At 41.6% G+C, this 13165-nt stretch overlaps 1 protein-coding gene and 1 non-coding gene across 2 annotated transcripts in view; one reads left to right on the top strand and one right to left on the bottom strand.

The window, feature by feature from the left end:
• Positions 1-13165, bottom strand: part of MIB1 (MIB E3 ubiquitin protein ligase 1) — a 166038-nt gene that overhangs the window by 146120 nt on the left and 6753 nt on the right. The window lies entirely within an intron of this gene.
• On the top strand, positions 12715-12884 carry LOC124900411 (small nucleolar RNA SNORA81). Its single transcript, XR_007066494.1, has one exon. It is a non-coding gene; the product is annotated as a small nucleolar RNA SNORA81 (small nucleolar RNA).

The raw sequence follows: 13165 nt of genomic DNA, 5'->3' as shown, positions 1-13165 counted from the left end.
GGTGTGAGCCACTGCGCCGGGCCAACATTTGTCATTTCTTATAACAATCCATATAGACTAATATATATATATATATATATATATATATATATATATATATATATATTTTTTTTTTTTTTTTGGATGGGGGAGACAGAGTTTTGCTCTGTCGCCCAGGCAGGAGTGCAGTGGCATAATCTCAGCTCACTGCAACCTCCGCCCCCACAGTTCAAGCAATTCTTGTGCCTCAGCCTTCTGAGTAGCTGGGACTACAGGCATATGCCACCACGCCCGGCTAATTTTTGTATTTTTAGTAGAGATGGGGTTTCACCATATTGGCCAGCCTGGTCTCAAACTCCCGACCTCAAGTGAGCCACTCGCCTCAGCCTCCCAAAGTGCTGGGATTACAGGCATGAGCCACCACACCCGGCTGACTCTAATATATTTTTTAATTGAATGTAACCTAAAATTTTTTTCATTAAATGTATATGTTATGATTTTCAGTTTTGGCATTCTCTTCAAGTATAAACCACTCTGTATTCCTTCTGATTTCTGTTACTGATTTGACATAGATTTGAGGAAGATAAGGATATAGTCTGTATCCTATCACAGATAGAATTTTTTTTTAAGGTTAGTCAAGTGAAGCAGTGGGAGTAAAGAAGAAACAAAGAAATCTGTTTCTTCCGTAACTGGTTGTGATCAATTAGTTGTAAACACCACTGTACTCAGATCAGCCACAGATAGAATGTTACTTTAACCAAAAATCAAAAATAAAATATGAAAAACATTGCTAAGAGGTTTAATTCCTCCTAAAATCCCTGAGGGAGTTCACATAAAAGAGTTATGCTCTGGGCTGGGCAAGGTGGCTCATGCCTGTAATCCCAGCACTTTGGGAGGCCAAGGCAGGAGGATCCCTTGAGTTCAGGACCAGTGTGGGCAATAAAGGGAGACCTCATCTCTTAAAAAAAAAAAAAAGTTAAGCTCTGAATTTATGTTTAGCTTACTTTATAAACAGATGTGGATTTATAAAAAAACAATTATAGCCGGGCACAGTGGCTCATGCCTGTAATCCCAACACTTTGGGAGGCTGAGGCGGGTGGATCACGAAGTCAGGGGTTCGAGACCAGCCTGACCAACATGGGGAAACCCCGTCTCTACTAAAAATACAAAAATTAGCTGGGCGTGGTGGCGGGTGCCTATAATCCCAGCTACTCAGGAGGCTGAGGCAGAAGAATTGCTTGAACCCAGGAGGCGGAGGTTGCAGTGAGCCGAGATAGCACCACTGCACTTCAGCCTGGGCGACAGAGAAAGACTCTGTCTCAAAAAAAAAACAATTATAGATATGTATATACACATGGTTTAATATACATACATATATTACTTAGCTCTGTTGACTGAGAGGCCCTAAAAGCAGTGATATCCAGTAGCAGTGAGTACACTCAGAACCCACATCTTGGTTTCTAAATATCATTCTGCAATAAGAATAAGGGAAACCAGGGATCCTTGGTGACATGGCTCATTCTAGGCCTGAGATAGGGAAAATACAAGATGAGCCTGGAGTATCAGCCTCCACAAAGTATCAGAAAGTAAAGAATTGCTTAAAAAAAACAAAATAATGGGGCATGTCAAAGGGACATAAGCCAACATAAGAGAAATTCCAAAGGCAAAAGCTGGAAGAATTCGAAAAACAAAATAATATAGTTTTGGATTATGATCCAACTATAAAGTAAATATACATTGAGTCTATACTGATATAAATAAAAGATTGGATAGATAAATAAATGGGGAGAAGAGACAAATATTCCTCGCAAAAGAATTCCAAATAATATATATATAGATACTCCCTCCTCCAGGAGGTAGAGCTTAATTTCTGCTACCTCCGTCTTAAGAGTGTGCTAGACTTGTGACTCTCTTCCAAATAGTTACTTTACAGTGCAGAAACCTGGCAAACAACTGCTTTAGCCAAGAGAGGAAGGTGAACATTCCTGGTGATGTCATGTGGCTATTAGGTACACCTTCATAGGATGTGATAAGAAAGGCATTTTACCTTTGAGGTATCCTTTCCAAAAACCCATAACCACTCCAATCATGAGAAAAAATATCAGACAAACCCAGATTGAGAGGCATTCTACAGGATACCTGACCAGTTTTCTTCAAGCATGTCAAGGTCATAAAAACAAGGAAAGAGGCAGGCATGGTGGCTCATGCCTGTAATTCCAGCACTTTGAGAGGCTGAGGCAAGCAGATCACGAGGTCTGGAGTTCAAGACTAGTCTGGCCCACATGGTGAAACCCTGTCTCTACTAAAAATACAAAAATTAGCAGGGTGTGGTGGCAGGCGCCTGTAATCTCAGCTACTCAGGAGGCTGAGGCAAGAGAATTGCCTGAACCCAGGAGGTGGAGGTTGCAGTGAGCTGAGATCCTGCCACTGCACTCCAGCCTGGGCAAAAGAGCAAACTCCATCTCAAAATAAAAAATAAAAATAAAAACAAGGAAAGACTGGGCCGGGCGTGGTGGCTCATGCCTGTAATCCCAGCACTTTAGGAGGCCGAGGCAGGTGGATCACGAGGTCAGGAGTTCGAGATCAGCCTGGCCAACATGGTGAAACGCTATCTCTACTAAAAATACAAAAAATTAGCCAGGTGTGGTGGTTCGTGCCTATAATCCCAGCTACTCAGGAGGCTGAAGCAGGAAAATCGCTTGAACCCAGGAGGCAGAGGTTGCAGTGAGCTGAGATCACGCCATTGCACTCCAGCCTGGGCAACAGAGCAAGACCCCGTCTTAAAAACACACACACACACACACGGAAAGATTAAGAAGCTATCACAGACCAGAAGAAACTAGGAAGACATGACAAGTAAATGCAATGATAGACCCTGAATTAGATTCTAGAACATTAATAGAAAACTAGTAAAATTCAAGTAAGTCTGGAGTTTGGTTAATAGTAATGTATCAGTGTTAGTTTACTAGTTTTGACCAACACTCCACAGTAATGTAAGATATTAATGAAGACAACCAGGTGATCAATATGGGAACCCTGTACTATCTTTGCAACTTTTCTCTAAGTTTAGAATTATTCAAACACTTTCAAATTTATTTAAAATATATTTTTAAACATAATTATACTCTAAAAGAGCATTTTTCACCCTACCCACAAGCTACAGTTTTATTACAAATGCCTCTTGAAAATGAATAATGTCATACATACACAATTGCTTTTCAAAGATACCTGAGTTTCTTCCTTCACAACTTGGTATTTTCCCCAAAAAATATTCCCTTGACACACATCTCTCCCTCCTCTCCCCAAATTCTATCAGATACTATCCCAGTCACAAAAATAAGTTTTAGTAAAATCATAATTTTAAAGCTTCTTTAGGCTGGGCACGGTGGCTCATGCCTGTAATCCCAAAACTTTGGGAGGCTGAGGCGGGCAGATCACTTGAGATCGGGAGTTCAAGACCAGCCTGTCCAACATGGCGAAACCCTGTCTCTACTAAAAATACAAAAATTAGCTGGGCGTGGCGGTGTATGCTTGTAATCCCAGCTACTTAGGAGGCTGAGGCAGGAGAATCACTTGAATCTGGGAGGCGGATATTGCAGTGAGCCAAGATCGCACCATCGCACTCCAGCCTGGGCAACAGAAGGAGACTCTGTCTCAAAAAAAAAAAAAAAAAAAAAAAAAAAAAAAAAAAAAAACTTCTTTAAAATGTTTAAATCTTTCAAAAAAATCTCTTACAGGAAAAATAACTTTTTATTACATGAAATTTCTAATATATACAAATTTAGAAAGACTAGTACAATGAATGTCCATGTACCCCAGTACCATCACTCAGTTGCAGCAACCTTGTTTCATCTCAATCCACACCCACTTCTCACTAGATTTCTTTTGTTAAGATAATGGCTTCTCACTTTGTTGCCCAGGCTGGAGTGCAGAGTGCAGTGGCATGATCATGGCTTACTGCAGCCTCGAACTCCTGTGTTGAAGCAATCCTCCTGCCTCAGCCTCTCAAGTAGCTAAGACTACAGGTGCACACCACCATGCCTGGCTAATTTTTTATTTCTTATTTTTTGTAGAGACGGGGTCCCCCTCTGTTCCCCAGACTGATCTCAAACTCTTGGCCTCAAGCAATTTACCCCTCTCAGCCTCCCAAAGTGCTGGGATTACAGGCATAAGCCACCGTGCCAGGCTTGTAACTCCTTAACTTCGCCAAATATCCAGTGTCTTCACATTTCTCTGATTGTCTCAGGTAATTCCATTTTTTTCTTCTGTTTGTTTGCTTTGAATCAGGATCCAATCATGAGTTACACATTGCATAGACCTCTGATTCTACAAGTTCCCCTTCCACTTTCTAAAAAAAAAAAAATTATTTGAAAATAATGTATTTAATAAGCCAGATTGTTTGACCTATAGAATTTTCCATATTCTGGATTTTCCTAATTACATCCCTGAAGTGTTGTTTATCTCTGCAGGATACCCTTAATTTCTGGATGATCATGTGTTCCTGATGGTCAGATTGATTCGGAGAATTGTCATCCTCATTCACCTATTTAAAATGTCCCCATTAGCTTTTATGGCATAAACAGCTATTGATACTCATTTACTAGACCTATAATTATTTTATTAAAGGTTACAACATAGTGATATTCTATTTCTACCATTCCTTCATTTTGTTAGCTGGAATTCTTCTATGCAGAAGAACTTTCCTTCAAAGCTATTTGGTTATCCTGAGGTATGATTGATATAGAAAAGGCAGGAAATGCTGGTTTCTTTCCCTTTATTTAGTATTATTTGGACTAATGAACAGGTTCCATACTATCCTTCAAATGTGACCAAAGTTTTCTGCAAAACGTCTTATAAATCTTTTTTTAAACGTTTTATTCTTAGATATCTCATATTTGGGTTGCTAGTATAAATGTGTATACATAAGCTTTTCCATTGTTTAGTTAGGAAAATTTTACTTTGAAACTTTTATCAATGACAACAATATCAAGGAAGACTTATTAGAAATGAGAAAATTTTAAGTCAGTGCTTCTCAAACTATATTAAAGGGTCTGTTTTTGTGTAAATAGGAGTGAGTTTTTAGAAAAAAGTAAAAAAGGGCCGGGCACAGTGGCTCATGCCTGTAATCCCAGCACTTTGGGAGGCCAAGGAGGGCGGATCATGAGGTCAGGAGTTCCAGACCAGCCTGGCCAATGTGGTGAAACCCCATCTCTACTAAAAATACAAAAAAAAAAAAAAAAAATAGCCCAGCGTGGTGACGTATACCCATCGTCCCAGGTACTCCGGAGGCTGAGACCGGAGAATCACTTGAACCCAGGGGGCAGAGGTTGCAGTGTGCAGAGATCGCACCGCTGCACTCCAGCCTGGGCAACAGAGCGAGACTTCATATCAAAAAAAAATTTTTTTTAAACTCTGTTTCTGAGATTTTTAATACTTCCCATCTATTGAGGCCAGTATCTAAAATATAATAAAAATTAATTACCGACTTATATGATTTCATATGGTCCTTTTTTTCTTCACAGACAAGGTCTCACTCTATCACTCAGGCTGGAATGCAGTGATATAATCATAGCTCACTGCAGCCTCAACCTCCTGGGCTCAAGCAATCCTCCCACCTCAGCCTCCTAAGTAGCTACCATGCCTGGCTAAATTTTTTTTTTTTTTTTGAGACGGAGTTTTGCTCTTGTTGCCCAGGTTGCAGTGCAATGGCATGATCTTGGCTCACTGCAACCTCCGCCTCCTGGGTTCAAACGATTCTCCTGCCTCGGCCTCCCAAGTAGCTGGGATTACAGGCATGCGCCACCACTCCCGGCTAATTTTGTATTTTTAGTAGAGACAGGGTTCCTCCATGTTGGTCAGGCTGGTCTCAAACTCCCGACCTAGGGTGATCCACCCACCTTGGCCTCCCAAAGTGCTGAGAGCCACCACACCCAGCCATGCCTGGCTAATTTTTTAAAATTGTTTTTGTAGAGATGAGGGTCTCACTATGTTGACTAGACTCGTCTTGAACTCTTGGCCTCACCTCATAACCCTCCCAATGGGTCGGGATTACAGGCATGAGCCACTGCACCCAGCCCCACATGGTCCTTTGTCTACTAACACCAAGGAAGGTGCCTGAACTTGAACCTGTCTTGCCAGTAACTCACCCAAGATAGTTGGCCATAGTTTTGGTTAACTATTGATGCGTAAGAACTCAGCCAAAACTTAGTTACTTAAACAACAATGCATAATTCGCTCTCAGATTTTTGTAGGGTGGCTGGGCTCAACTGGGCAGTTCTTGCTTGATGTCTCTTGTGTGTTTGCAGTCAGATGACATCTGAGGCCAAAGTCATCTACAGATTTCACTGGGCTGAACATTCCAAGGTGGCTTCTTTACTCACATGTCTGACACTTCAGCTGGGTTGGCAGAAACAGTGGGAGCTGACCAGCTATTTTTTTCTTTCTTTTTTAAAAAAATGTTTTATTTCCATAGGTTATTGCGGAACAGGTGGTGTTTGGTTACATTAGTAAGTTCTTTAGGGGTGATTTGTGAAATTTTTGGTGCACCCATCACCCAAGCAGTATACACTGCACCCAATTTGTAGTTTTTTATCCCTCACCCCCTATCCACCCTTTCCCCCTGAGTCCCTAAAGTCCACTGTGTCATTATTATGCCTTTGCATCCTCATAGCTTAGCTCCCACTTATGAATGAGAATATACAATGTTTGGTTTTCCATTCCTGAGTTACTTCACTTAGAATAAGTCTCCAATCTCATCCAGGTGGCTGCAAATCCTATTAATTCATTCCTTCTTATGGCTGAGTAGTATTGCATTGTATATAAATACCAGTTTCTTTATTCATTCACTGACTGATGGGCATTTGGGTTGGTTCTATATTTTTACAATTGTGAATTGTGCTGCTATAAACATGTGTGTGCAAGTATCTTTTTCGTATAATGACTTCTCCTCTGGATGGATACCAAGTAGTGGGACTGCTGGATCAAATGGTAGATCTACTTTTAGTTCTTTAAGGAATCTCCACACTGTTTTCCATAGTGGTTGTACTAGTTTACATTCCCACCAGCAGTGTAGAAGTGTTCTTCGTTCACCACATCGATGCCAACATCTGCTATTTTTTATTTTTTGATTATGGCCATTTTTGCAGGAGTAAGGTGGCATCGCATTGTGTTTTTGATTTGCATTTCCCTGACCATTAGTGATGTTGAGGATTTTTTCATATTTTTTTGGCCATTTGTATTTTTTCTGTTGAGAATTGTCTATTCATGTTCTTAGCCCACTTTTTGATGGGATTGTTTGTTTTTTTTCTTGCTAATTTGTTTGAGTTCATTGTAGATTCTGGATATTAGTCCTTTGTCAGATGTATAGATTGTTAAGGTTTTCTCCCACTCTGTGGGTTGTCTGTTTACCCTGCTGACTGTTCCTTTTGCTGTGCAAAAGCTCTTTAGTTTAATTAAGTCTCAGCTATTTATCTTTGTTCTTATTGTGTTTGCTTTTGGGTTCTTGGTCATGAAATCCTTGCCTAAGCCAATGCCTAGAAGGGTTTTTTCAATGTTATCTTCTAGAATTTTTAGAGTTTCAGGTCTTAGATTTAAGTCCTTAATCCATCTTGAGTAGATTTTTGTATAAGGTGAGAGATGAGGGTCCAGTTTCATTCTCCTACATTTGGCTACCCTGCACCATTTGTTGAATAGGTTGTCCTTTCCCCACTTTCTTTTTGTTTGCTTTGTCAAAGATCAGTTGGCTGTAAGTATTTGGGTTTATTTCTGGGTTCTCTATTCTATTCCATTGGTGTATATTCTTATTTTTATGCCAGTACCATGCTGTTTGGTGACTATGGCCTTATAATATATAGTTTGAAATCAGATAATGTGATGCCTCCAGATTTTTTCTTTTTGCTTAGTCCTTCTGTGTTAGGTAAGTCTCTTGAAGGCAGCAGATAGTTGACAGGTGAATTCTTATCCATTCTGCAATTCTGTATCCTTTAAGTGGAGCTTTTTTTTTTGAGATAGAGTCTCACTCTGTCCCCCAGGCTGGAGTGCAGTGGCGCCATCTTGGCTCACTGCAAGCTCCACCTCCCGGCTTCACGCCATTCTCCTGCCTCAGCCTCCTGCGTGGCTGGGACTATAGGCGCCCGCCACCATGCCCGGCTAATTTTTTTGTATTTTTAGTAGACACAGGGTTTCACCGTGTTAGCCAGGATGGTCTCCAACTCCTGACCTCGTGATCCGCCCACCTCAGCCTCCCAAAGTGCTGAGATTACAGGCGTGAGCCACCGTGCCCAGCCTAAGTGGAGCATTTTTTAGGCCATTTACATTAAACATTAGTATTGAGATGTGAGGTACTATTCCATTCATTGTGCTATTTGTTGCCTGTGTACGTTTGCTTTTTGTGTTTTTTAATTATATTTTTGTTTTATAGGTCCTGTAAGATTTATGCTTTAAAGAGGTTCTGTTTTGATGTGTTTCCAGGATTTGTTTCAAGATTTAGAGCTCCTTTTAGTAGTTCTTATAGTGCTGGTTTGGTAGTGGCAAATTTTTTCAGCATTTGTTTATCTGAAAAAGACTGTATCTTTCCTTCATTTATGAAGCTTAGTTTTGCTGGATACAAAATTCATGGCTGATAATTGTTTTGTTTAGAGAGGGTGAAGATAGGGCCTCAATCTCTTCTAGCTTGCAGGGTTTCTGCTGAGAAATCTGTTGTTAATCTGATAGGTTTTCCTTTATGGGTTACCTGGTGCTTTTGCCTCAAAGCTCTTAAGATTCTTTCTTCCTTCTTAACTTTAGGTAACCTGATGACAATGTGCCTAGGCAATGATCTTTTTGCAATGAATTTCCCAGGTCTTCTTTGAGCTTCTTGTGTTTGGATGTCCAGGTCACTAACAAGGCCAGGGAAGTTTTCCTTGATTATTCCCCCAAATATGTTTTCCAAACTTTTAGATTTCTCTTCTTCCTCAGGAACACCAATTATTCTTAAGTTTGGTCATTTAATATAATCTCAGATTTCTTAGAGGCTTTGTTCATATTTTCTTATTCTTTTTTCTTTGTTTTTGTTGGATTGAGTTAATTCGAAAACCTTGTCTTTGAGCTCTGAAGTTCTTTCTTCTGCTTGTTCAATTCTATTGCTGAGACTTTCCAGAGCATTTTGCATTCTATAAGTGCATCCATTGTTTCCTGAAGTTTTGATTTTTTTTATTTATGATATCTATTTCACTGACGATTTCTCTCATTTCTTGTATTTTTTTTTTAATTTCCTTAAATTGAGCTTCACCTTTCTCTGGTGCCTCCTTGATTAGCCTAATAAGTGACCTTCTGAATTCTTTTTCAGGTAAATCAGAGATTTCTTCTTGGTTTGGAGCCATTGCTGGTGAGCTAGTGTGGTTTCTTTTTGGAGGTGTTGAAAAACTTTGTTTTGTCATATTACCAGAGTTGGTTTTCTGGTTCCTTCTCATTTGGGTAGACTCTGTCAGAGGGAAAGTCTAGGGATGAAGGCTGTTGTTCAGATTATTTTGTCCCACAGGGTGTTCCCTTGATGTAGTACTCTCTCCCTTTTCCTATGGATGTGGCTTCCTGAAAGCCAAGCTGTACTGACTGTTATCTCTCTTCTGGATCTAGCCACCCAGCAAGTCTACCAGGATCTGAGTTGGTACTGGGGTTGTCTGCACAGAGTCCTGTGATATGAGCCATCTGTGGGTCTCTCAGCTGTGGATACCAGCACAGTATTTGGAGTGTCTCCTGGGTCCTACAGGAGCAATCCACTTTCTCCAGAGGGTTCATGGGTTCTCTCAACTTTCTGATTTATTCCTGGAGTAGGTCTAGAGCAAAAGTTCACGAAGCGAGACTCCACACACTGCTGCCCAAGTGGGAGCTGCAATCTAGTCCTATCTCCTGTCTGCCATGATCCTCCATGGGGTGATCCCCCCCAATTTACTGCCTTTTCATGAGCTAGGGCCAAAGCTCTGCAATTCTCATCATCTGGTCTTTTAGGCTACCAAAATTGAGATAATGAGGACACAGAGCTATTTTTCCTCTCCAGTAGCAGCTGATGGAGCAGAAAGCTCCTGATCAGGTATTTCAATATGAGCAGCCTCACAGCATGCTGGTTCCAGAGGAGTAGGACTTCTTACATGGCAGTTGGTTTCCCTAGAGTGCATGTTGTGGAAGGCCAATTTGGAAACCACAAGACTAGTTTCAGAAATTTCAGTGTCATTTCCAACTCCCTTTATTGGTAAAGCAGATCACAAGGCCAACCCAGATTCAGCATGGGAGGATACTATGCAAGAGAGTTGTAGTGCACCGAAAGGCCAACATTGAGACTAACTCCCAAGGACCCTGGAGAAGGAGACTCCTGGAGAAGAAAGAAACTGTGGAGACAGAGATGGGGGAGCTAATTAAAATATACTGAGCAGGAGTGGGTCTTTCAGAAATTATGCAGTGTAGAGGTCTGTGGATCCACCTATTTCACACTACCTGTTCCCCATGCCCTATCCTCCCTACTCCCAGCATGAAACTCACGTATTCACCACCAAGAGATCTAGCATTTGTGCACTTTCTGCAAAGAGGACATTTGCAATGAAACTCCCAGTCCAACAATTCACAACTCTGCTAATCTCTTCCTCTCTGGTCTGTTACGTAGGCAGGGAGGAGGAGGAGGCACCTAGAGTGATGGCTTTGGGCGATTTGGCCAGCTCAGACATTTCTTACTAAACCCTGGAGATCTGTGTAGATCCACAGCTTTTGGTACTTGACTCCTCTGTGCATGGATATGAACTGCATTCACCAATTCCAGAGAAGGAGGGAAAGCACTACTTAACATCTTGTTACACTGGGCAAGGCCACAGCTGCAAACAAGCCTGCATTATAGCTGTTTGTGCTCCTATTAAAAATTTTCTCCAAATTTCATCCTGTAAGGAATGTGACTTAATGAATTTCCTGTGTAATTTAAAAAATGGAAAATGGGGCCAGGTGTGCTGGCTCACACCTGTCATCCCAGCACTTTGGGAGGCCGAGGAGGGTGGATCACTTGAGGTCAGGAGTTCAAGACCAGCCTGGCCAACATGGTGAAACCCCCACCTCTACTAAAAATACAAAAAAAAAAAAAAAGGAGAGGGGTGCAGGCATGGTAACTCATGCCTGTACTCCTAGCATTTTGGGAGGCCAAGGTGGCAGGATTACTTGAGCTCAGGAGTTCAACATAATGAGAACTTGTCTTAATTAAGCTTTTTTTTTTTTTTTTTTTTTTTTTGAGACAGAATCTTGCTCTGTCGCCCGGGCTGGAGTGCAGTGGTGCAATCTCAGCTCACTGCAACCTCTGCCACCTGGGTTCAAGCAATTCTCCTGCCTCATCCTCCCGAGTAGCTGGGATTACAGGCGCGTGCCACCATGCCCGGCTAATTTTTTTTGTATTTTTAGTAGAGACGGGGTTTTGGCATCTTGGCGAGGCTGGTCTTGAATGCCTGACCTCATGATCCACCTGTCTCGGCCTCCCAAAGTGCTGGGATTATAGGCGTGAGCCACCGCGCCTGGCCCAGAGTTCTTTAATTTATTAATTAAATAATTTATTTTCCATCTGGAAATTTAATTTATTCCAGATGGGCTTGGTGGCTCAGGGTTGTAATCCCAGCACTTTGGGAGTCTGAGATGGGGGGATTGTTTAAGGCCAGGAGTTCAAGACCAGTCAGGGCAACATAGTGAGACCCTGTCTCTATGAAAACAAAAACAAAAATAAAAAAATAAGCTGGGCATGGTAATGCACACCTGTAGTCCCAGCTACTCAGGAGGCTGAGTGGGGAGGATTGCTTGACCCCAAGACTGATTCAAGGCTGCAGTAAGAGGTGTTCAGACCATTGCACCCCAGTCTGGGTGACAGAGCAAGACCCTATCTCAAAAAATAATAATAATAAATATAAAATATTCCTATAATAGATACATTGGTGGGCAAAAAAAAGAGCCATTAATATTTATTAATCTTTAAATGATTTTGTAGGACCCTTTTATATTCTCTATTAGGTTTCTATTGCTGCACAACAAATTACCACCAACTTAGCAGCTTCAAACAACACATTTCTTATCTAGCAGTTCCCATGGGTCATAGGTCCAGGTACAACTTAACTGGGTCCTCTGATCAGGGGCTCACAAGGCTGAAGTTAAAACGTTGACCATGCTGTATTTTCATCTGGAGATTTGACTGGGAAAGAATCTCCTTCCATACTCATTCAGGTTGTTGGCAGAATTCATTTCCTTGCAGTTGCAGGACTCAGGTCACCAGTGTTTTTTGCAGTTGTCTGATGGAGGCCACCCATAGATCCCAGAGGCTGCCTACAGTTCGCTGCTATGTGGCTTTCTCTGGGGCAGTTCACATGGCTGCTTCCTCAAGGCTGAAAGGACAGTCTAGCTCCAGTCTGCTAAGGAGTCTTATATAACATAGTATAATCACAGGAGTGTTGACATCCCATTACCTTTGCTATCTCTATCGTATTGGTTGGAAATGAATCACAGGTCCTATACACACTCCAGGAGAAGGGCACCAGGAGGCAGAGATCACTGGGGGTCTCCTTAGGGTCTGCCTACCACACATTCTCTGTGCAATTCTGATTTCTCCTTTGAAATACAAATAGAATTAGAAAAAAAATGACAAAGAGCTTCATGAGCATTTTATACCAACCTATAAAGGACAACTGTGCTGCTTTAGGTCTGTTGTTTCAGGTACAGACTTGATCAGGATTTTTAAAAATAAACAACTTCCTGTATAAGCACTGTGCTAAAATCGCAGAAACTAGGACCATATCTTGGTTTTTGTGATAATGCTAGCAGAGTACACAGAAGAATAAACGTAACAGCATTGGATTATAAAGACTAGGGTGAGGCCAGGCGCAGTGGCTCACACGTGTAATCCCAGCACTTTGGGAGGGCAAGGCAGGAGGACTGCTTGAGCCCAGGAGTTCGAGACCAGCCTGGGCAACACAGAAAGACCCCGTCTCTATAAAAAAGAAAAAACTTAGCCAGACATGGTGGCATGGGCCTGTGGTCCCAGCTACTTGGGAGGCTGAGGCAGGAGGATGACTTGAGCCTGGGAGGTCGAGGCTGCAGTAAGCCATAATCACACCATGGCATGCCAGCCTGAGTGACAGAGCAAAACCTTGTCAAAAAAATAAAAAGAAAGAAAGAAAGATTATGATACCAAAGTGAC

The sequence above is a fragment of the Homo sapiens genome, chromosome 18, assembly GCF_000001405.40.
Source record: "Homo sapiens chromosome 18, GRCh38.p14 Primary Assembly".
Classification (NCBI taxonomy): Eukaryota; Metazoa; Chordata; class Mammalia; order Primates; family Hominidae; genus Homo; species Homo sapiens.
The sequence above is the reverse complement of the archived record's forward strand: the minus strand, read 5'-3'. Positions and strand labels throughout refer to the sequence as shown.